At 57.8% G+C, this 23,916-nt stretch overlaps 1 protein-coding gene across 5 annotated transcripts in view, besides 3 other annotated features; it reads right to left on the reverse strand.

Moving 5' to 3' along the window:
• Positions 1–23,916, reverse strand: part of TECPR1 (tectonin beta-propeller repeat containing 1) — a 37,609-nt gene that overhangs the window by 8,144 nt on the left and 5,549 nt on the right. For 2 of the 5 annotated variants that reach the window (XM_005250253.5, NM_015395.3), the window contains exons 3-21: positions 23,155–23,398; positions 22,118–22,300; positions 21,804–21,926; positions 20,700–20,825; positions 18,303–18,477; positions 18,084–18,184; positions 15,742–15,843; positions 14,009–14,154; positions 10,654–11,144; positions 10,060–10,205; positions 9,037–9,192; positions 8,457–8,606; positions 8,194–8,351; positions 6,272–6,399; positions 5,247–5,349; positions 2,239–2,335; positions 2,034–2,113; positions 895–951; positions 223–403 (exon numbers count right to left, since the gene is read on the reverse strand). In XM_005250253.5, coding sequence (XP_005250310.1) covers positions 223–403; positions 895–951; positions 2,034–2,113; positions 2,239–2,335; positions 5,247–5,349; positions 6,272–6,399; positions 8,194–8,351; positions 8,457–8,606; positions 9,037–9,192; positions 10,060–10,205; positions 10,654–11,144; positions 14,009–14,154; positions 15,742–15,843; positions 18,084–18,184; positions 18,303–18,477; positions 20,700–20,825; positions 21,804–21,926; positions 22,118–22,300; positions 23,155–23,379 — 2,928 coding nt within the window. In that variant the 5' untranslated portion in view covers positions 23,380–23,398. Of the gene's footprint in view, positions 1–222; positions 404–894; positions 952–2,033; positions 2,114–2,238; positions 2,336–5,246; positions 5,350–5,740; positions 5,949–6,271; positions 6,400–8,193; positions 8,352–8,456; positions 8,607–9,036; positions 9,193–10,059; positions 10,206–10,653; positions 11,145–14,008; positions 14,155–15,741; positions 15,844–18,083; positions 18,185–18,302; positions 18,478–20,699; positions 20,826–21,803; positions 21,927–22,117; positions 22,301–23,154; positions 23,399–23,916 lie in introns of those variants that run through there. The other 3 variants (XM_047420119.1, XM_017011937.2, XR_428174.4) reach the window with 2 other exon arrangements.
• Positions 7,260–7,913: an enhancer, noted in NCBI's record as "H3K4me1 hESC enhancer chr7:97859339-97859992 (GRCh37/hg19 assembly coordinates)". NCBI's record gives its function as "activates a minimal SCP1, AML or CMV promoter by ChIP-STARR-seq in primed H9 embryonic stem cells {active_cell/tissue: H9 hESC(primed)}" and the evidence as "EXISTENCE:reporter gene assay evidence [ECO:0000049][PMID:30033119]".
• Positions 9,036–9,236: a silencer, noted in NCBI's record as "peak6653 fragment used in MPRA reporter construct". NCBI's record gives its function as "represses an SCP1 promoter by STARR-seq MPRAs in K562 erythroleukemia cells {active_cell/tissue: K562}" and the evidence as "EXISTENCE:reporter gene assay evidence [ECO:0000049][PMID:32103011]".
• Positions 17,999–18,901: an enhancer, noted in NCBI's record as "H3K27ac-H3K4me1 hESC enhancer chr7:97870078-97870980 (GRCh37/hg19 assembly coordinates)". NCBI's record gives its function as "activates a minimal SCP1, AML or CMV promoter by ChIP-STARR-seq in naive H9 embryonic stem cells {active_cell/tissue: H9 hESC(naive)}" and the evidence as "EXISTENCE:reporter gene assay evidence [ECO:0000049][PMID:30033119]".

The following is a 23,916-nucleotide window of genomic DNA, read 5'->3' on the forward strand; positions in this document are numbered from 1 at the left end:
GACTGGGTGCCAAAGAGCCGCAGTGTCCCCTTGGCCCACCTCTGTCACCCCCGCCCCACCCGCCTCATTCCTGGGCCAACTGCCCCAGGGCACAGGGACCCACTCGGACCACAGGCAGTGTCCACTGGTCCTAGGGGCTTGTCCTGAGCAGGGTCTGAGCCCTGCCGGACTCCAGAGCAAAGGTCTCATTTCAAGAAGAATCTGTCTGGCCCCGGCACTCACCGCAGGGTTGAGCTCCGACACGCCCAGGCGGCACAGCACATCCCCCTTGTCGCTGACGGCCCAGAGGGCGATGCTGTGCCCACTCCCCTCGGCACCCGGGCTCTCCGGGATGATGGACACGTCCCTGAGGGCGATGGGGGGCACCTCCAGCCAGGGCCCACTGGTCACCAGCTTGCATTTTCTGTACAGTGGAGAGGGGACACAGCCCAGGGACCCCAAGGTGACCACCAGGCTCCAGGGCCTCTGCCTCTGGAGCCAGGAGGAGGAAAGCAGCCAACCCCGGGGCGGGTAGAAAGAGGGGCCCAGAGGTGGCCTCCTCCCCACCCCCACCCCCATCCAGGCCCAGCCAGGCCCCCACCCCCACCCCCAGCCCCAGCCAGGCCCCGTTCTCTGTCCCGCTCACAGGTGGAGTGTGCCAGTGACATTTCTCTTATTTGTTCATGAAAACAAACTATTCTGAAACCAGAGAGCACCGGGAGCCTGCGGGCATTTCCTGGGCTGACATTTACTCAGATTCGGCTTCCCTCTTCACCCTACTCCCCACTGCTTCTTCCCTTGGGACTGAGGTCAGAGGCCAGGAGATCTGGCCCGGGGTGCAGGGAACCAGAGCTCCCTCAAGGGTGGCTCCTCCAGGAGCCTGACCGTGACAGTCACCCTGCAGCCCTGCCTCACCTGGCCCAGCACCTCCTCCTCACAAAATCCTTCATCGTTTTGGACCCATGGTATGAGCTGCAAGGAGGAAGAAGATGAAATCAGGGCCACTTCGTGGAAGTTTCTGGAAAGGGACCGTGCATGTAAACATTCTTGTTCTACCCGTTACAGGGCATGGGGACTGGGTGGAAGCCATGGATGGGGTTCAGAGAAGGAGGTGTCACCACGCGCGGCTCTCAGGAGGCGCTTCCTGGCTGCCCCGGCAGGATCAGGGTTGAGTGCAGCCCTGGGGACCTGCAGGGAGGGCCTCCTGGGGGTTGGGGCCTCCCAGGGGCAGGGGTCTCCCTGGGGAAGGGGGTCGGGCCTCCCTGGGGCTGGAGCGGAGCAGTCACTTGTCAGGGGTCAGGCTAAGGGGACTCAGCCCTCCCCTCCCCAGGCCCCATCAGAGCCCTTTTGGGGAGCAAGAGCCCTCGGTCAGGATGAGGCCCGAGGCTGAGCGGAGGGTGGTCCAGGAGGCCTGGCTGTGGCCGAGGGGACGGTCCTGGTCTGCTCAGAAGCCACCTGGCTCTGGGCCCCAGCTCAGGCTGTCCTGGCTCCATCTTCCAACAGGCTGAGACTGTGCCGTGAAGGGCCTGCCCACGCCGTGCACCTGCACCGCCAGGGTCCAGGGCCTCGTGACAGCCACTGCATCTCTCCGAGGGGCTCACACTGCCCCTTCACCTAACATCTCGTGTTGGGTCCCTCAACACTAAGGGCCTGGCTCAAAGCCCCCCAGAGCTCACCCTGCTAAGGCTGTAGAGGCCACTCGCCCTCCTCAAGCCCCTCAGTCTGGTGCCCTGGGTGCCACCATCTGACCCTCCCAGAGCCCGTGCCTGGCACAGCAGGGATGAACGTGGCGTGGGGGAGCCATGGTGCTCCTACCCGTGCCACACATGGAGGCCAGGGGTGCCACGTGTGCAGGGAGCACTCCCCTGGGCCCCTCCTGGCCTCTCTGCTGGCTCCTCCCCCTCCAGTAGCAGGGCTGGCACCAGGGGTCTGCTCCTTGGCCAGGCCTAGGGGGCAGGGTTCAGCCTGGAAGAGCAGTGAGGCCAGAGGCCACACACTCCAGGGCCCTGACATTCAGGACCCAGCCCGAAGGCCCTGTGCAGGGAGAGGCTTACGCAGGGAAGTCGCTGGCATACTGCCACCCCTCCTGGTCCGTGCCCCCCGGAACGCTGAAATCCACGAACCAGTCGGAAACCTGGGAGGAGTGGGTCAGTGAGGATGGGACCCCCCGAATCCAGAAGGCAGTCAGAACACTCGAGGAGGGGCAAGGAGGGGTGGGAGGGCGGATTCCCAACCCCCCAGGGGGCAGCGGGACCTCACCCAGGCCCACTGCAGGGACGGGGGCTTCGTGCCAGCCTTCGTGCACTCCTGCAGCCCCGAGGCATCGCTCCACATGTACCGGTCCGTGGGCAGACCCCTGCGGCAGGACAACAGGGCAGGTGACGAGGGAGACTGGGGAATGAACTGGCTCACTCAGACACCCCCATAACACCCCACAGGGAAGCACCGAGCTCCAGTCTCAGAGCCAGCCACCTCCAGGCACTCGCACTCCTAAGAGGTGACAGCCTGCTGGGCACAGTGGCTGACGCCTGTAATCCCAGCACTTTGGGAGGCTGACGCGGGCAGATCACCTGAGGTCAGGAGTTCGAGACCATCCTGGCCAACATGGTGAAACCCCATCTCTACTAAAATACAAAAAATTAGCCAGGTGTGGTGGCGGATGCCTGTAGTCCCAGCTACTCAGGAGGCTGAGGCAGGGGAATCGCTTGAACCCGGGAGGCGGAGGTTGCAGTGAGCGGAGATCGTGCCACTACGCCACTGCACTCCAGCCTGGCGACAGAGCAAGACTTCGTCTCAAAAAAAAAAGGCGGGGGGAGGGGGGAAAATTTGGACACAGACACATGCATAGAGGGGAAAAGACTTTCTTTCTCTCTTTCTTTCCCTTTCTCTCTTGCTCACTCGTTCTCTTTTCTTTCTTTCTTTTCAGAGACAGGCTGTCGCTCTGTCACCCAGGCTGGAGTGCAGGGGTATGATCATAGCTCACTGCAGCCTCGAATTCCTGGGCTCAATTGATCCTCCCAACTCAGCCTCCTGAGTAGCTGGGACCACAGACACATGCCACCATACCTGGCTAATTTATTTTTAAGTGTCCTGTAGAGATGGAGTCTTGCTTTGTTGCCCAGGCTGATCTCGCCTTGTAAAGCACTGGGATTACAGGCGTGAATCCCCACACGTGGCCACATTTCTCTTGTTCAAACCATGTGGTCTGTGGTACTTTGTTAGTACCACCACAGGACACTCGAGTGGCAGGAAGCAGCACATAGGGCAGTTCTGGGGACGGCTGAGGCTGAGATGCCTGGAGAACGCAGCTGGGGCACGCATTTGTGTTGACCAGCTGTGGCCCTTTCAGGCCTCTCTGAGACAGATGTGGGTGCGCAGCCCTGCCCTGCCCTGCCCTGTCCTCCGTCGGAACTGAGGAGGACGTGAGGAGGGAGTGGAGATCCAAGTGTGCTGCCAGGCTGTGTGGACACTGCCCACAGCTGAGGCGGAGGTTTTCAGGATGGAAATATTTTGGCGATGTGTGCCAACCGCCTTAGAAAATCTCAAATCCCCTGATTTACTGGGGTAAACACACAGACACACAAATATTTACACACAGGGACATCCTTTAAATGGTTCCATAGGACGCTGAAAAGGTCACATATGGTTGAGACGTCCAAGGCTGAGTAAAGTCAGATACACTGGGTCCACTCTGGGTACAGAACGGTGAGGTCATGGAGCCACCTCCCTGTGCCTGGCCTTGTCTGCCCCCAACACGGACACACAGTATGGCTGGAAGGCCACACCCCACATGCTAATTGCAGTTGCTGTCTTTGGCTGGTGAGATTAGAGTTGTCAGAGAGTTTGTTGTTTCTATTACTAAGTGTTTATTTCGTCAATTTGGAAAAGGCAGAAGTGGAGGCCGGGCGCAGTGGCTCTCGCCTGATGATGCCTGTAATCTCAACACTTTGGGAGGCTGAGGCGGGCTTCGGGAGTTCAGGAGTTGGAGACCAGCCTCACCAACATGGTGAAATCCTGTCTCTACTAAAAATACAAAAATAGCCAGGTATGGTGGTGCATGCCTGTAATCCCAACTACTCGGGAGGCTCAGGTAGGAGAATCGCTTGAACCCAGAAGGCAAAGGCTGCAGTGAGCCAAGATCGCACCACTGCACTCCAGCCTGGGCGACAGAGTGAGACTGTGTCTCAAAAAACAAAACAAAAAAAACAAAGAAAAGCAGGAGAGGAAATCAATTGCATTTCTTTAGACAGCCTCAAAAAGTTAAAAAAAAAATTTAAAACTTTGAATATGCCACTTATAATACTGTCCAAAAATATGAAATACCGTCTAATAAAAGATGTCAAAGCTCCAGTATAGAAAACTACAGGTCAGGTGTGGTGGCTCGCACCTGTAATCCCAGCACTTTGGGAGGCCGAGGCAGGCGGATCATGAGGTCAGGAATTCAAGACCAGTCGGACCAACATGGTGAAACCCCGTCTCTACTAAAAATACGAAAATTAGCTAGTCGTGGTGGAGCGCGCCTGTAATCCCAGCTACTTGTTAGGCTGAGGCAGGAGAATAGCTTGAACCTGGGAGGCAGAGGTTGCAGTGAGCCAAGATCGCGCCACTGCACTCCAGCCTGGGCGACAGGGCGAGACTCGGTCTCAAAAAAAAAAAAAAGAAAAAGAAAACAAAAGTACAAACCTCTCTTTCTTCTATCTCTGGTGCTTGAATCAGGAACAGAATCTTATTAAGAAGGAATTACATACATTTCTTGGAGGTAGAAACTTTGTCAATACAGTTAGAGACTTCTGACCGGGCGTGGTGGCTCATGCCTGTAACCCCAGCACTTTGGGAGGCTAAGGTGGGCAGATTACTTGAGGTCAAGAGTTCAAGACCAGTCTGGCCAACATGGTAAAACCCTGTCTCTACTAACAATACAAAAAATTTGCCAGGAGTGGTGCCAGGCGCCTGTAATCCCAGCTATTCGGGAGGCTGAGGCAGGAGAATTGCTTGAACCCAGGAGGCGGAGGTTGCAGTAAGCTGAGATCATGCCATGGCACTCCAGCCTGGGTGACAGAGCAAGACCCTGTATCAAAAAAAAAAAAAAAAAAAAAAGATTCAAGGAAAAAAATCTCAGTGAGCGGTAAGATCCGGTTAGTTTCCTGCTGGCGGCCTGACACCAGGCTCTACTGGACTCCACGCTACGGTGGATGTTGCTGTCCTATTTTTGCCAGGACTAAGGCCTATGCCAGGCAGCATCCTGGCCGGGCACCTGTGCCACTTACCTGCTGGTGTAGCCTGTGACGGGGTTCCAGCGCTGGTTCTCATAGATGTGAACACACTTCACGTCTGACTGCGTGTAGATGTTACTGGTGCTGCTGGCCAGGCCTGTGGGGAGAGGTGGCTGCTGGGACCGAGGCCACATACGCTCCGCTTGGGACTCTGGCTTTCCGTCTGAAGCACAGATTCCCAGAGAGACGGGGAGGGCGGGCTGGAGCCAGGTCAGCGGAGAGGAGCAAACAGTCCTGTTGAGCTTATCGCACGGGGGTCGGCCTGGCTTGGGTTTTCTCCTCCGGGACCGTGATTATTCTGGGATTGTGCAACCTCGATGAGCACAGCCTGCTGTGCATTAAATCTCCCATCCACACCCCTCCAGCGCCTCTTCCCACCTTGCCCTCCTACTTAGCACCAGGGAGGCATGAGGCCCACCCAGCTCACTCTGTGTTACAAAGGCACCTGGGACCATCAACGTAACCTCCGTGAGCCCCGGCTTCCTCACTTGTAAAATGAAGACAGAGGTCATTCCTGCCTCACACACAGGGAAGCTGGAAAGCCTGCTCAGATATGCGTTCCTGGGGTATCAGGGGACCACAGTTCTCTGGGGTTAGCTGCTCCCCCGTGGGGCATGTGGGCTGCGGCCTGGAACGCCCCGTTTCAGTGTCTGTTTCCGCCTTCGTTTTCCAGTAGGAACAGAGGGACCCTGGCTCCTAGAAATCGGGGGGCCACAGAAGTTCAGCGAGTGCCTACCCTGAAGGAGGAACCCACCTAACACCCTGAAAATGAGAGGCTGGACATGCTGGTGGACCCTGGCCGCTGCCTCTCTGGAACCTTCGAGGCCCTCAGCTCGAAGTGGGTACTGGCAGGGACCATCCTGGGTGGAGGCTGGCAGTGGTGAAGGTCACCTGTCAGCCAGCTGTTAGCCGAGTGTGAACACTGGGACAATGGCCCTGGCCTTGGGCAGGGAACCCAGACGGGGACTAGAGGAAAGAACGCCCAGGAAGGCTCCGGGGGGGCTGTGGGCCGCCCTCACCTTGGAAGCAGCCGCCTCCATAGCCGCCTGTGTATACCCAGGCCGTGTGGTCATAGCCGATGCCCCACACCACGCCCCGGCTGTTGGCCTCCACCATCCGCAGGTGGCCTCCCATCTGCCGCCAAAACCTGGAAGGATGGGAGAGGGCAGGTGGAAACCCCTCAGACCCCACCTTCCAACCCTGCCTGGCTGCCCTTTTGTTCCGTGTCCTCCTGTGGTTCTGGGATTTTCCCAGCCCTCGGTCTCCAAGCACAGACCATCCACCCTGCCTGACCTCCGCGTTCATATTAATCAACGCTAAAAAGACTCAGCCCACGAGAGGTGCAGGGTCTCGGCACTGGGGCTGTGCAGGTCAGACCCTCTCCATGGGCTGGGAGTCTTCTGGAACCCACCCACTTCAGCCCCATGGTGACATGGAGGGAGATGAGGCCAGCGGCGTGTTTCACAGGGGCCCCTTGGGGTCTGGGACCTGGGGAAATGGGCTGGCCACAGTGGCAGGTGCAGCCAGGCTTGAATGTCACAGAGCAGAGCCGGACATGACATCTAATCCTCTGCATGAGTGACAGCACGGCCCTTGGGCTTCCAGGGTGTCAGCGGGAGGCGGTGCCAGCACAGCATGGCCTCCTGGGTGGGCAGAGTGCAGGCTGCGGCTGGTGCAGGTCACAGCCTCCTGCGGCCGAGGCCCTGTCACTGTCACTGTCACCAGAGGCGGTCTGAATCCTCTGACAGGATATTGCTGTCCCCTCCTGCAGCCAGGGCTTCTGGCTCACTATGTCCCCAGCCCCAGTGCCCACGGGTAATGAAGCCCAGGACCTCGTCGGCTTGGGAACAACCCCAGGGCAGCCTCTGTCCCACAGGGGACAGAATCATAGCCCCCATGTCCCCTGCCGGGCCCTTGTCCTCAGGACTCAGCTCAGATCCCCCCCCCAGGGAACCTCATTCCCCCTTTGTGGCTTTTTTTTTTTTTTCTGAGACAGGGTCTCGCTGTGTTGCCCAGGCTGGAGTGCCGTGGTGTGAGTGTGATCACACCTCACTGCAGCCTTGAACTCCTGGGCTCAAGTGATCTTCCCACCTCAGCCCTCCGAGCAGCTGGAACTACAAGTGCATGACACCATGCCTTGCTAACTTTTTTGGTTTCTTTTTTTTTTTGTAGAGACGAGTCTAGCTATGTTGCCCAGGCTGGTCTTGAACTTCTGACCTCAAGTGATCCTCCTACCTCAGCCTCCCAGAGTGATGAGATTGCAGGCGTGAGCCAACCTGCCTAGCCCCACCTTGTGGCTCTCAATGTCCCCAACAGAACAATGTCTCCTAGGCTTGTGCGCCCAGCCCTGCCCTCACCCCACTCCAGCCTGGCTACCCCACGTCCCCCAGGTCCAGTCTCCACCAGCATTTCCCAGTGCCAAACGTCAAGTCCTCTCTCTGCCCACTCCTGCTGGACTTCAAACCCTACCAACTCTGCCTTGACCACGCCCCCAAACTCTCCTCCCACAGCGGCTCTCTCCTCTCTGCCCCCAGGCCCCGGGCCGCCCATGCAGCAGGGGCTCAGCTGGAGCTGGAGGCGGCTGAGCACCGGGTCTGTGCCCTGGGCAGGTGGAGAGACGTGGCTGCTTTGCTACAGCCTGGAAGCCCCCTGGGGTGGAGAATTGTGCCCCTCACCCACACTCCACATTCCTCCCGATGCTCAGAGGCTGCTGGGCGGCACTGACCCACCCTGGGCCCAGTGGGGCTTCTGGTTCCCCCTCTTGGAGTCTTTGGACAGGCCCAGGGGGACTTGGGGGCCTGGGAACCAGTGGCCGTGCCTCTGCCTGGTCAGCGAGAAGCTTGACCCTGCGTGGACTCCAGTCCTCTGGATCCCCCTTCTGTAACCACGAGCTCGGGGTGAGGCCAGGCCCCAGACCCCACCCAGAGTGCGGCTCACTCACATCTGGTCGCAGGGCAGGGGGTGCTCGTGGGCCTCCAGGTCTGGGCTGGGCTCGCTCACGAAGATGTCCCCCTTGCAGGTGATGGACCAGATGGCCTGCGGGGACGGGCGGCCCTGCACCTTCCGGCTCTCGCAGCAAGACAGGCTGAGCAGGGCGAGCTGGTGTGGCACAATGCCGGTCACTGCTGAGCAGGCCAGGCCAGGCCAGGCCACCCCACCATGGCTATCCCTCCCCCCGGCCCGAGGGGACCACCGACCACTCACCCAGTCATTCATGTCCTGCTCGGTGGCAGCAGCCAGACGCACCGGCCACCTCTGCCGTGTCCGCTCAGGGGTGTACAGGGCAAAGGAGTGCTTGGTCTCGTTCAGCACTGGGACCAGCGCCACCACCTCATTCAGGAATATGTGGATGTACTGTTCACAGAACAGGCGCCCGGCAGGGCTGTCACCCAGGGCAGGAGGCCTCTGGAGGGTGACCCCCACTGTGCTTCACCCTGGGACCCTGGCCCTCGGACACCCTCTCTCCTGGCACCCCCAGCCCTGCCCCCTCCCTTGGTACTTCATTTCTTTACCCCCTCCCCAGGCACCCCCATTTCTGTACCCCCTCCCCTGGGCACCCCCATTTCTGTACTCCCTCTCCTGGGGCACCCCCATTTCTGTACCCCCTTCCCCGGGCACCCCCATTTCTGTACCCCTCCCCTGGGTACCCTCATTTCTGTGTCCCTCCCTGGGCACCCTCATTTCTGTACCCCTCCCCTGGGCACCCCCATTTCTGTACCCCTCCTCTAGCACCCCAGCCCTGTGTCCCCTCCCTGGCCCCATCTCCTGTGGGACCCGTGGGCACCTTCTTCTCCTCGTGGACCACATAGTAGATGAAGAGGATGCTGTCCCGGACGCCGTCGTGCCCCGTGAACTGCTCCAGGGCCAAGCGCACGTCCACCCACTTGTGGGGCTTCCAGTCGCACCACCACTGCAGCGCCCCGGTCTTCACCCACACCGACTGCGCAGGCCGGGGCAGTGGACACCATCACAGGCAGGCCCGGGGTGCCAGGGGAGGAGGGCGGGGCTGGGGGTGCCCAGAGGAGGAGGCAGGGCTGGGGTAGGGCCCACCCAGCACTCCCGGCTGTCAGCCCAGCTCCCCCTATGCTAATGATAACAGTGACGCTGCCGGACACCCAATAGGTGCAGGCTGAGCCAGGGCTGTTCCGTACAACCTCCTCTCTCTCAAACAGCCAGAGTGGGCACTGCCATCCCGCCTTCTGCATGGGGAGACAGGCTCGGGAGGGTTCCGTGCCTGGCTTTGGTGTCACAGAGTGAGCCAGCGGCAGAGCTAGAACCCAAACCACAGCCTACTTGTGTCCAGGGGCCTTTGGAATGAGGCAGGTCACATGCTCTGTGTGACTTCCCTGTCACCCCCACACTTGACCTCTGAGGGCCGGGCTCTGCCACAGGATAGTGGGGCAGAAGCAGGGTCAGCCCAGGGGTGGGGTCTCCGGCCGCCCTCTGTGCTAACTCCTTGCAATCACACGCTACACCCCTGGGCGCCCGGGGTTCCCTCCAGCAGGAAGAGGATGACGTGGTTCCCCTCCCTGGCCACCCTCCCTTCCCCACCCACCACCCTCTGAGGTTGCTGCCGTCTCTGGGTCCCCAGGGCCTCCAACGAGTCTGGAACACAGTGAGGCCCAAACCAAAGTCTTCAGGATGGACGAAGAAACCCTGAGCTCATTTCTCTATGCCTGCATCTGGGCGGGAGACCAGGGGATGGAGGCATCTATCTGTTTCTCTCAGAGCTGGTACACAGCAGGCGCTCAATGAATGATTGCTGGAAAAAAAAAAAAAATGCATGCGCAGCCACCGGGGCACCCACCTGCTCCACGGCCTGCTCGTAGTGTCTGAAGTTCTCCAGCTCCCGCTTGGTCCTTTCCGTGAGCTGCTGGAAGATCTGCTTCCTCCAGGCAGCGGTCTGGGCCGGCGTGATGGACAGGGACAGCATGTGTACCGAGGAGGACAGGCCTGTGGGGCAGAGAGAGCCTCAGGGCCGGGGCACTGTCCTGCCCGCAGCTGGGCAGGAAGCCACGGCGCTCCCCTCCACCAAATCAGCCCTTTCTAGCTCAAAAGCTACGCTCTCTGTTAAGCCTCCTTCCACCCTTTGCCCTGTTGGATGAGTTGCTCTCCCCCAGTAATTCAGCCTGGAAAGCAGCCACCACCGCTAGCACAGGGGAGGGGCTGCAGACAGGGGAAGGGGCACTGGCCACCGTGCTTCCAGGTCCTGACAGCCTCGGGCTGGTCTCTGGAGGCCACAGAGGAGCGCAATGCCTGGCTCAGAGCTGCTGAGCACAGTGAGGCGTCCAGGGAGGACAGCAGGCCTGCCCGAGCCCCCTGACCCCGGCCTCCTCCCACACCCCACACCCCCAGGGCACCTGGCCATGTGGATGCCCCCAGGCCCTGCAGGAGCCCTTACCCGCCTGGACAGTGAACCATCTGGGCATGGCACATGCCTCCACCACGCAGCCGCCTCCCGACACCCAGGCCCACAGCGGGTGGTCATCCACCCCATACGGCTCCTCCAAGCCCAGTGGGAGGAGCCCCAGAGAGGAGAGGCTGGTGGTCTCGGGGAAGCCAGCGGCCGAGTGGCTGGGCACTTTCTTGGCCTCCTTGAGGTCAATATTGGTCCAGGGCAGCTCGGCCGGGGTGGGGGCCGGGCCGGGGTGCGTGTTGGGTCTGGCCTCCCTGCTGCCCTCGGCTGGGCAGGCATCTTCCACGGTATCTTCTGCGGTCCTGCCAGCCCCCAGGCCTGAGGCTGAGTTCCCTGTGGCATTCTTGGAATCGTCTAGAGGTTCTGCAGGGAGAATCTGGCCAGGCCCTGGTCTCTCGACTTCCGAGGAGGCATCGGTGTCGCTGGGGGCAGACTCGCCACTACCCCTCACCTCATCACCGAAGAAGCAGCCGGCACTGGGGACAAATCAGGGCAGACCCATCACTCCCTTGCAGGGGAACAGGCGCTGTCAGGCAGGCCCAGCTCCAGCGTGCTCCACCATGACTGCCTGTGGAAACTTGGGCAAGTCAGAACCTCTCTGAACTCCTGTCTCTTCCTCTGTGCAAGGTATACATCAGCACCTGCTTCCAGGGAGCTGACACCTGGGCCACCCTGCAGACCAATCACATCCACATATCTGAGAGTGAAGATCTAGAATTAGTATTTCTTCTTTTTTTGAGACGGAGTCTCACTGTCATCCAGGCTGGGGTGCAGGGGCACAATCTCAGCTCACTGCAACCTCCGCCTCCCAGGTTCAAGCGATTCTCCTGCCTCAGCCTCCCGAGTAGCTGAGAGATTACAGGCATGCACCACCACGCCTGGCTAATTTTTGTATTTTTAGTAGAGACGGGGTTTCACCATGTTGGCAGGCTGGTCTTGAACTCCTGACCTCAAGTGATTCGCTGGGCTCAGCCTCCCAAAGTGCTGGGATTACAGGCGTGAGCCACCGCGCCCGATCATAAACCTCTTTTCTTTATAAAAGACCAGCTTCAGGATTCCCTTATAGCAACACAAAATGGACTAAAACGCGTTTTCAAGCCTCTTGGATATACACCCAGCAGTGGATGTGCTGGCTCACATGGCAGTTCTGGGTTTCATGTCTTGAGGAATTGCTAAATTGTTCTCCACAGTGGCTGTACCATTTCACATTCCTACCAGCAGTGTATGAAGTTCCAATTTCTCCATGTTCTCACTAGCATTTGTTATTGTCTTTTTTTTTTTTTTTTTTTTTTTGAGATAGAGTCTTTCTCTGTTGCCCAGGCTGGAGTGTAGTGACGTGATCATAGCTCACTGCAGCCTCGACCTCCTGGGCTCATGTGATCCTCCCACCTCTGCCTTGTAAGTAGCTAGGACTACAGGCCCATGCCACAGCACCCAGATAATTTTTTAAAAAATTCTTGTAGAGATGGGGTCTCACTATGTTGTCCAGGCTGACCTTGAACTCCTGGGCTTAAGCGATCCACCCACTTTGGCCTCCTGAAGTGCTGGGACTGCAGGTGTGAGCTACCGCACCCAGCCTTGCCTTTCTTCCACTGACTTTTCACTCTCTTGATAATGTCCTTTTGATTCACAAAAGTTTTTAATTCTGATGAAGTCCAATTTATCTGTATTTCCTCATTGCCTGTGCTTTTGGTGTCATATCTAAGAAGCTATCGCTAACCTCAAAGTTATAAAGATTTGGCATCTGTAGTTTTTGAAGCTTCTCAGCTGATTCTAATGTGCTTTCCAGTTTAAGAACTAACAGCTGGGGCCAGGCGCAGTGGCTCACGCCTGTAATCTCAGCACTTTGGGAGGCCAAGGCGGGAGGATCACAAGGTCAGGAGATCGAGACCATCCTGGCTAACACGGTGAAACCTGATCTCTACTAAAAATACAAAAAATTAGCCAGGTGTGGTGGCGGGTGCCTGTAGTCCCAGCTACTCGGGAGGCTGAGGTAGGAGAATGGCGTGAACCCTGGAGGTGGAGCTTGCAGTGAGCCAAGATCGCGCCGTGGCACTCCAGCCTGGGCGACAGAGTGAGACTCCGTCTAAAAAAAAAAAAAAAAAGAACTACCAGCTGGCGGGGTGTGGTGGCTCACGCCTGTAATCCCAACACTTTGGGAGACAGAGGTGGGAGGGTCACTTGAGGTTAGGAGTTCAAGCCTAGCCAACATGGGGAAACCCTGTCTCTACTAAAAATACAAGAATTAGCCAGGTGTGGTGGTGAACATCTGTAATCCCAGCTACTTGGGAGGCTGGGGTGGGAGGATCACTTGGGCCCAGGAGTTTGAGGCTGCAGTGAGCCATGATCACACCACTGCACTCCAGCCTGGATGACAGAGTGAGACTGTCTCAAAAAAAAAAAAAAAAAAAAAAAACACCATCTGAGCAGACTAAACCCTCAGGTGACACATGAGCAAACGCCTGCCCTGGCTGTCCTCCCTGGGCCTCTGGGCTGACAGCACGGCAGGGTGGCAACCACCAGGCTCAGGGCACAGAGGGGTGTGGACCAGGGGCTAGGGAGGGTCACAGCTATAGGTGGAAACGTGGACGGCTGCAGAGCCTGGGCCCTGAGCGCCATCTCCATCCATGCCCATGATGTGGACACGCCCGCTGCAGAGCTGAGATGTCCCCAGCTCATCCACTGAGTCGCCTGCCTGTGCTCTCACGGCTGGTGGGCAGAGCTGGGGCTTGTCCATGCTCTTTAGACCCACGGACCACCAGGTGCAGCCCCAAAACTGCAGCAGCATCACCTGGGGGCTGGTGAGAAATACCAAGTCTCAAACAAACTCGGGGTAAGACCCGGAGATCAAAGTCTGAACAAACCCTCCAGGAGACCCCGATGCCTGAGTCTGAGACCACTGCTGCAGGCTGGGCAGAGACCCTCTGTCTTGTCCTTGTTTCCCCTGGACAGAAGGGCCTTTACTTCCACCCCAGAGAAACTGTTTCTGCCCCAGATCTTCAGCCTCGGACCCAATGGGACAACCCAGCTCAGGGTCGAGCCTTACCTCCATCACGACAGCCCAGCCTTACCCTGCTCCCAGGTGCCGCCACCAGCAGCCCAGAGTATGTCAAACACCTCCAGTGGCCACCCCAGGCTGCCCCCAGGACCTCCTCTCTGTGGGACCGAGGCAGGAGGGCTTCGGCTCTTGTGGCTTTTGTGAGTGGAGACCCATTTTCTCCTGCCTGGGACAAGTCCTGGGACCCAGTGGGGCAGGTGGCAGCCTCTTCTGGACATGACCACCTAGGCTCAGACGGCCCATCCCAGCCTGACTCCTGCGCACCCTGCCACCCCCAGTCACCTGAGGAGACTAGACGAGCTGCCAGAGTGTGACCGGTCACACTCTCGGGCCGCGATGATGGCTTTCCAGGTCTTCCCACTGAGCTCGCTGGGGGTGACACCCTGCCGGAAGTACACGGCTCGGTCCTCACAGCCAATGCCCCACACCTGGAAGAGAGAGGCTGTGTTCCGAGGAATCTGGGCGCAGGCCCGGGGGCTCTTCTCGCTTCCTAGGGGTGCAAAATGCAGGCAGGGTCCTCCATGTGCAGGTGTGTGTGGGCTGGGAAGGTCCATGCTGGGGCTGTGTGGTGGGCACAGAAGTCAAATACTGGAAGGGGGCTCAGGAGAAGCTGCGACCTGGTCCCGTCTCCCTGACCTCAGGCAGACCCAGGGTTTCAAGGTGACAAGGTCCACGGGAAGTGGCGGGGCTGGGGGACGCTGTGTTAGGAAATGAGGTTCACCTGCCTCCCTGTCTTGCGTGTGCCCTCTGGTGGGAAGCAGATGCCCCCAGTGAACCCAGAGGTGGTCCTGGTTTTGTTGTCTTTGTTTTTTGTTGTTGAGACAGAGTCTTGCTCTGTCACCCAGGCTGGAGTGCAATGACGCAGTCTTGGCTCACTGAAACCTCCGCCTCCAGGGCTCAAGTGATTCTCCTACCTCAGCCTCCCAAGTAGCTGGGATTACAGGCTCCCATCACCACACCCAGCTAAGTTTTGTTTTGTTTTGTTTTGTTTTTGAGATGGAGTCTTGCTCTGTCACCCAGGCTGGAGTGCAGTGGCGTGATTTCGGCTCACTGCAACCTCCGCCTCCCAGCTTCAACCGATTCTCCTGCCTTAGCCTCCAGAGTGGCTGGGATTACAGTCACGTGCTACCACGCCCAGCTAATTTTTGTATTTTTAGTAGACACAAGGTTTCACTGTGTTGGCCAGGCTGGTCTCAAACTCCTGACCTCAGGCGATCCACCCACTTCACCCTCCCAAAGTGCTGGGATTACAGGCGTGAGCCACTGTGCCCGGAATGTTTTTGGTTTTTTTTAGAGATAGGATCTCACTCTGTCACCCAGGCTGGAGTGCGGTGGTGCAATCATGCATGGCTCATTACAGCCTTGACCTCCTGGGCTCAGGCAATCCTCCTGCCTTGGCCTCCTGAGTAGATGGGACTACAGGTGCACACCACCACACTTGGCTAATTTTTAAATTTTTGTAGAGATGGGGTCTCACTATATTGCCCAGGCTGGTCTCAAACTCCTAGGCTCAAGTGGTCCTCCCACCTTAGCCTCCTAAAGTGCTGGGATTTACAAGTGTGAGCCACCACACCTGGCCGTGGTGTTTTTTTTTTAAGATGTAAAGTAACTTCCCTGATTCTGACCTCACTTTCCATGGAAAAGGTTTCTGGGTAGGCATCCTACTCTCTGCCTTTGGGCAAGAAGTAAGGTTTGCTAAAGGGCCTAGGTGGCCTGGCTAGGTAGGCTGTGGCGTCTCTGTCCCTTGGCCCTGGCAGGCTCGCCTTGGGTTCAGCACCCCTGTGCACTAGCAGGTGCCTGTCTCCCCCTGGCCTCTGGGTGCTGTGCCACCGGGGGGGTGGGAGGAGGGTGTGGCAGCAGAGGGAAGCCTGGCACCTCAGAAAGAACTTCTTGCTCAGTACAATGGAGTGGGGGGCTCTCCTACAGTGGGAAGCGGCCACTAGGCTATTGGGTGGCATCAGGAGCCCCCATTCTGAGACCCCTGCTGTTTAGGGGCTGCAGACCCACGTGCACACCTGGTCGTTCATTCCCACGTTCACCATCGTCATCTCACCAACCATCTCAATCCAACTGGTGCCGCAGGGATTGTGAGAGTTGACGCCTCTTCGGAACCACACCTGGGGGAGTCAGAAATAAACATGCCTTCCTGGAGGGCCACTGAAACAGACGGTTCGTTCGTTTAAGCCTCAGGGAGAACAAGTGAATAATTTGATCCTTTGGTTCACGTCGCAAATGAGCAGTGGTACATCATTTAGCGAGGAAGCCCTTATCCGTGATCCACGCCGCTCTTCCCACACCCTGACCGCATCTCCTGTGCCTGGCACTGTCCCACGAGGGCTGAGGGTCCTCTGGCCTCAGCCACATGTGTCCTGGCAGCTTCCTGCCCATTCTCCAGCCTAACGCTTGGAAAAGGCTACTTTATTTGAATTGAGTTGGTCCCTGTGAAAGACAACGGCCTTAATACTGTTATTTAGGAAAACTAGTTTTTAAAAAGCTCATTATTAGAAAAAACAAGACCCCTATTTTGGGTCTATTCTTAGTACTTCAAGAAATACTTAAAGTGAAGTATTTTCATGTCGACGTGTAAAAATACACACACTCCCACTAGATTTTCCCAGACTGTCTGTGGCTCTGTGATTCAGCGGCTGGTCATGCTCCACCCCGCCACCCGGCATTCCATCAGGGCTCTTCTTATACATTCTCCATGGTGGCCTGGGAGGCCCCGTTAGTCTCAGACCTACTGGAGACCTTGTGCTATTAGAATGCCTGAGATGCTGCCAGACACGGTGGCTCACACCTGTAATCCCAACACTTTGGGAGGCTGAGGCGGGTGGATCACCTGCGGTCAGGAGTTGGAGACCAGCCTGAACAACATGGTGAAACCCTGCCTCTACTAAAAAATACTACAAATACTAGTCAGGTGTGGTGGTACACGCTTGGAACCCCAGCTACTTGGGAGGCCATGGCAGGAGAATCGCTTGAATCCAGGAGGTGGAGGTTACAGTGAGCTGAGATCGGGCCACGGCATTCCAGCCTGGGTGACGGAACGAGACTCTGTCTCAAATTAAAAAATAAAAAAAAGAAATCCAATGTTGCCCATTTAATCCAAAGAAAGTGACACATGGCTGTAAGAGGGGCTTGGAAGTTGTGGTCTCTGGGAAGTGGGGTGACCAGGATCCAATGTGGGGGACAGTCTGGTCTGTATTTTTGTGGGCTGGGAGTGGCCTCAGACTCTGAGAGCTTCAGCACTGGAGATACAGATGCAGACGTGTGGGCCGTCCATCCCCCGGGCCAGGGAAACCCCCTTGACAAGCAGTTAGAAAAACCCTGTGACTGGCCAGGCACGGTGGCTCATGCCTGTAATCCCAGCACTTTGGGAGGCTGAGGCGGGCGGATCATGAGGTCAGGATATCGAGACCATCCTGGCTAACTCGGTGATACCCCATCTCTACTAAAAATACAAAAAATTAGCCGGGCGTGGTGGCGGGCGCCTGTAGCCCCGCTACGAGGGAGGCTGAGGCAGGAGAATGGCGTGAACCCGGGAGGCGGAGCTTGGAGTGAGCAGAGATTGCGCCACTGCACTCCAGCCTGGGTGACAGAGCGACACTCCGTCTCAAAAAAAACAAACAAAAGAAAAACCCTGTGAGTAATCGGAAATCGGCTGGTTTTATTGGACTTGCCGCTGATAAGATGCAAAAGACAAGCAGTGACTAGAGGATGGGGAGGCGCTTGGTTAATCAAGGGCTTCAGGAAATTCGCTTCCGATTCTTCGAAATGTTGCAGCCTATTAGGTGATACTTGCAGTTGCTGCATTTGGGTACCAGCGTGTGGGTGGAAGAGGATTTTACGGCACAAAACGTCCTGGAGATTGGCAACAATTTCAGCAACAAACAATGCATGGTGCTCAGCTGGTGCCGGATTTGTTCTAATGGGTTTTTCTTTTTTGAGACGGAGTCTTTCTCGTTGCCCAGGCTGGAGTGCTATAGTGCAATCTTGGCTCACTGCAACCTCCACCTCCCAGGTTCAAGCAATTCTCCTGCCTCCCAAGTAGCTAGGATTACAGGTGCCCGCCACCATGCCCAGCTAATTTTTTGTATTTTTAGTAGAAACAAGGTTTCACCATGTTGGCCAGGCTGGTCTTGAACTCCTGACCTCAGGCAATCTGCCCACCTAGGCCTCCCGATGTGCTGGGATTACAGACGTGAGCCACTGCACCCGGCCTGGGTTTTTCTTTTTTTTTAATTTGAGACAGGGTCTCGCTCTGTCACCCAGGCTGGAGTCCAGTGGTGTGATCACAGCTCACTGCAGTCTCCAACTCCTGGGCTCAAGTGATCCCCCAGCCTCATCCCCATCTTACCTTCCAGTCCTTGGTGACAGCCCAGACCACGCTGACTCCCACCGAGATGTGCATGACCCCGTTTTCAGATCCAGGAGGCTCCACGATGGACCAGGAACTTCCTACCGGGCCCCCAAGAAACCCCCAGTGGCCCCCATCAGCCTGGACAGCTGGGGAGCGAGTGACCCTCACCCTTCTCCCCAGTACAGGGTATGTGGGTGGGGGAGCCGGGCTGCCCACCTTTGGGATTGCTCCTGTTGATTCCTTCCCGGACCAGGGCCTGTCCCTCCCAGAGTGTGGCCCACAGGAGGTCGTGGGGCCCACAGCTGATCTGAACCACCTCCCCGGGGGTGTCCAGCAGGGACCAGGAGGACCCTTCGGGGTTGGAGTGGCTGACGTCCTCTCTGTACCACACCTGGGAGGCAAGACAGGGACACAGCACCTGCATCAACTCATTCACACCAGCCAAGCACGGGGGTCTCGGTGTGGTAGGGGGTAGGACCCATGTCCCCTGACCGTCCAGATCTCACTCCCTGCCCCCTACCCCGGCCAAAAAACGCAAACCCTGGATTCCGGTGGTCCTGAGGGATACACTTGTTCCATTCATCTGTTTGGGGTGATGCCCCCAACCCAGCCCACTCATGGACACCCACCCACCACCTGATTCCAGTCTCAGGCATGTGGGTCTCCGGCCACTCTGGCCAGCCCGTGTGTCCCATGCCCCCTTGTGGCGATGTGCTCTCAGGACACCCGGCTCCAGGGGAGGCTCCAACTCCCATTCATAAACTATCTAAGACGTCAGTTCTTTTTTCCTTCACTGAATGGTTAAGACTGGGAGCAACGTGCTCAGAGCGTCTGAACTGTTTGGCTCATTTTAGCTGGGGGAGACTACATGTCACTTCGTGATCCAGAAAGGGCAAGGGACCCTCCCCATAGGGCTGTCTTCAGACAGGGGACCCAGCCTCCCAATCCTGCCACCATCCCCCTACAGCAGGCCCTGCAGGACCAGGCCTAGGAGCCTCCCTTCGGCTAGCAGGTGGCCCATCTGTCTCCCCAGCTTCTACAGAAGCCCAGGTCCTGGTGCCACCTCTCATGGACCACAGGTGTGGTGCAGGCAGCACCAGCTCACGGCCGACATTCCAGGACACAAACGCTGCTCTGCAGCCCCTGTTCTCCCCTCTCTCTCTTTGCATCCAGATGGCCATGGCCCCCCGATGGGGGCTCAGTCCTGGGGCAGCTCCCTCACTCTGCCCGGCCCCTCGCCACCGCCCTTCAGCAGGGCTGAGGAAGCAACTGTGTTCGCCTGTTCCCAGGCCAACGTGGCCGCAGAGGGGGGCTGCGACAAAACTGGCAACTTCTGAATAACTGCTAAGCCCACTGGGGAGCTGTGGTCAATGCGTGGTGAGAGCGACTGAAGAATCCTGCTGTGCAACAGAAAGCCATGACTCGAGTGTCAGCGCCCTGAGTTCAGGACCCTCGGGGCCTCTGCTGCCCTCAGGGGCTGCTTCGATTCCTCTGCTTAGTTCACAAACTCCTTGAGACAGGATTGCCTCTCTCTAAACAGCCACAGATCCACTACCCACCTACCCACCCACCCATCCATCCATCCATCCACACATCTGTCCACCTGCACACACCTTCCATCCATCCACACATATAACCACCTATCCATCTATCCATACACCCACTCACCCACTCACCCACCCACCTACACACCCATCCATCCATCCACACACCCACCCACCCATCCATCCACCCATCTATCCATCCATCCGCACACCCACCCATCTGTCCATCTGCACATACCTTCCATTCATCCACACATATACCCACCTATCCATCTATCCATACACCCACTCACCCACTCACCCACCCACCCACACAGCCATCCATCCATGCACACACCCATCCATCCATCTACACACCCACCCACCCATCCACCCACCCACCCATCCATCCATCCATCCACCCATCCATCCATCCGCACACCCACCCATCTGTCCATCTGCACATACCTTCCATTCATCCACACATATACCCACCTATCCATCTACCCATACACCCACCCACCCACTCACCCACCCATCCACACACCCATCCGCCCATCCACACACCCACCCACCCATCCATCCACACATCCACCCACACCCATCCATCCATCCACCCACCCATCCACCCATCCATCCACACACCCACCTATCCATCCTTCTGCCCACACACCCACCCATCCACCCATCCATCCACACACCCACCTATCCATCCATCTGCCCACACACCCACCCATCCACCCATCCATCCACACACCCACCTATCCATCCTTCTGCCCACACACCACCCATCCGTCCAGTGGCACACCTTCTGTCACCCACACACCCACCCCCACACTATTCCTGAAGACTGTGGGAGGCACCAGCAGGGAGCTCAGAAACTGTCTTGAGGAGGCCGCATTGATGTGCCTGAGCTGAGGCTGGGCACTGATCAGCACGCTGGGGGCTCGGAGGAGAGAAAGGCCAGGAGCAGGCATGGGGTGGGGGGGCCGGGGCTCCGGGGAGGAGCAAGACCCAGGGGGTGCACAGGACAGGACCCACAGGAGGTGGGATCGTGGGGAGCCAGGGCAGGGAGAGGGGTTGGCCTTACCTTGCCCTGCAGAGACACAGCCCACACTGACAGGCGGCCCACAGGCTCCTCCGTGATCTCCCAGCCCCCTACAGAGAGGTCGTTGAAGGGGTCGGGCAGCTCCTTGGGGTCATCCTTCGAGGGGATCTGAAGGAAGGAAGTGAGAAATGGTAGCAGTCAGCGCCCAGTGGGCACCTGGGCATGCACCCACCTCCCGCCCGCCTGCCATCCGGACTTCCATTCTTCAGCCCAGCCTGCAGCTGCCTTAATTCACAGGGAAGGCAGCATCAGGACTGTGGGGGCCCCTGCCCGGCTAATTTTTGTATTTTCAGTAGAGACGTGGTTTCACCATGTTGGCCAGGCTGTTCTCAAACTCCCGGCCTCAAGTGATCCACCTGCCTTGGCTTCTCAAGTGCTAGGATTACAGGCATGAGCCATCACACCCAGCCTCTACAAAAAATTTAAAAGTTAACCGGGCATGGTGGTGCATGCCTGTAGTCCCAGCTACTAGGGAGGCTGAGGTGGGAGGATTGCTTGAGCTCAGGAGTTCCAGGCTGCAGTGAGCTGTGACTGTACCACTGCACTCAACAGAGTGCAACAGAGCGAGACCCTATCTCTAAAAAGAAAAAAAAATAGGGCCAGCTCCCTGGTCTCCTGGCTTCTCCCAGTCCCAGGGGCAGCCCCACCTGACAGCCCTGTATGTCCCAGGGAGGCCTCCACTCATTGGAGGCCACGCCAAGACCTGGGTCCAGTGCTGTGCTCCCTAAGCTGGGAGGTTCTTCTGGGTCATGGAGCAACGCTAGAGCCAGAGGTGCCTCCCTTGGCTGAGGGGGAGGACAAAGTGCCAGATGGAGGCTCAGTCTGGGACAGAGCAGCTTGGACACCAGGGTCAGGGCAAGTTCTGTGCTGTCCTGGGCCTGGCCTGGCTCCCTGTGTGACTATCTCCCAAGTGAAGGGACACGCAGTGTCGTGGTGTTCCCGGGACAGGAAACAGCTCAAAGGCCAGGTCCCGAGGTGGGCGTGGTGTCCCCTGGTGCACACAGGTGGGGAAGGTGGAGAGGAGGCTGCATGTGACACTCTGTCCTGGCCCTATCCTGCCCCCAACCCACATTCAGGAACAGAGACCTTGGCCCAGATGTCCCGGGACTTGTATCTCCTGTACCGGATCCACTTCCGGCGCCGCACACAAGAATTCCACTTCTTGTCTTTCGTGTAGGTGGCGGGAAAGTCGATGGCGTACGTCCACCCCTGAAACACCAAGGAAGGGGCTCTCAGGCTCTGCGGGGAAGGCATTTGAAGAGCTGGGGAAGGTGGGGAGGGAGGGTGTGGCCTGAAACACCCGAGCTCAGGCACCACAGGGTGCAGGGGACAGAAGCAGGGACAGGCGGGAGGCACCCCCTCCCCACAGGGCAGTCATGGAGGGTCCCAAGTTCACCTACCCCTTTCTCAGTGGGTTCACCTCCAAAATTCTCATCCACGTACCAGTCAGACTCCCACTCCCAGTGCGGCGAGGGCAGTGCCACCCTGTCCAGCGGCCGGTGCTGGAGCCCACTCACGTCACTCCACCCCCAGCGGTCACTCAGCAGGAGCTTCTCACAGAAGCCGCCCATGGGATTCCAGCGCTGAGGGCCGGGGACACAGAGGCGGCCTTGGACCCAAGCCTGCTGGGCGGGAACCCAGGCGGGCCAGGCATCTCCAGGACCAGCTGACCCTGCCCAGCCGACCCCCTCATTGATCTCCAGAATAGGAAGTGAGCAGAGGGCCTGTGTGGGACCCAGCAACTGGGGACCCCCATGCCACTTCATCATGAGCCAGCAAGTACATCAGCACAGCCCCAAAGGGCAAAGAACCTCCTGCCAGCCACGGCGCTGTGAGCAGGGCAGGCGGTGGAGGGCACACCTTGTCCTAGGCTCCCAGAAACCACTGGAGCCTGCCCTCGTGGGGACCTGGCCAGACTGCTTTGGTGAGGACACAATAGTGGCTTCAGCCTCAAAGACCCTGGATACTATGCAACTTGAATTTTTTTTGGAGGGGCGGGGTGCAGGGGGACAGGGTCTTGCTCTGTTGCCCAGGCTGGAGTGCAGGGCACGATTATGGCTCACTACAGCCTTGACCTCCCTGGCTCAAGTGATCCTCCTGCCTCAGCCTCCTAAGTAGCTGGGACTAAAGGTGCACACCACCACACCCTGCTAATTCTTGTATTTTTTTTGTAGAGGCAGAGATTCACCATGATGCCTAGGCTGGTCTCAAACTCCTGAGCTCAAGCGATCTGCCCGCCACAGCCTTCCAAAGTGCTGGGATTACAGGCGTGAGTCACCACGCCTGGCAGCAACACAGATTTTAAGTACAAGGAAGGAAATGAAGGCAGGAACTGGTGGGGAATCTGGGGCCTCTATTTCCCTTCTGTGGTTCATCATTTTAACCAATAACCCAGCGAACTGACCCGCTCGGCAACTCCAACCATGAGGGTCACTACCTGATTCTCATAGGCCTCCTCTCGGCGGCGGATGGGGACATCGCTGGCACACACATACACGTAGACCTGGTTGTCACAGGCAATGCCCCAGCAGCACTGCGTGGTGGCGCTGACGCGCTTGAACTCCAGCTGGGAGTCCTTGCACATTTCCCAGTACTGGCCTGCTGTGGACAGCGTGTACACTCTCCCGAAGAGGTCCACCGCCCACAGCACTGAGTTGGGCATGGCAGCGGCTGGAGGTAACCTGCGGCAGGAGGACGAGGGCCAGCGTTCAGGCTCCCAGCCCAGGGGACATCAGAGTCATGTGAAACCTGGGAGACTTCTACTGTGACTATTTATTCTTTTTCTCTTTTTTTTTTTTTTTAGATGGAGTCTCACTCTGTCACCCAGGCTGGAGTGCAGTGGCGCAATCTTGGCTCACTGCAACCTCCACCTCCAGGGTTCAAGCAATTCTCCTGCCTCAGCCTCCCAAGTAGCTGGGATTATAGGCACCTGCCACCATACCCAGCTAGTTTTTGTATTTTTAGTAGAGACGGGGTTTCGCCACATTGGCCAGGCTGGTATCGATCTCCTGACCTTGTGATCTGCCTGCCTCAGCCTCCCAAAGTGCTGGGATTACAGGCGTGAGCCACCGCGCGTGGCCAACTGCTTATTCTTTCTTTTTTTGTTTATTTTTTTGAGACGGAGTCTCGCTCTGTTGCCCAGGCTGGAGTGCAATGGCACGATCTTGGGATCTTGGCTCACTGCAACCTCCACCTCCCA

The sequence above is a fragment of the Homo sapiens genome, chromosome 7 (genome assembly GCF_000001405.40).
Source record: "Homo sapiens chromosome 7, GRCh38.p14 Primary Assembly".
Lineage (NCBI taxonomy): Eukaryota > Metazoa > Chordata > Mammalia > Primates > Hominidae > Homo > Homo sapiens.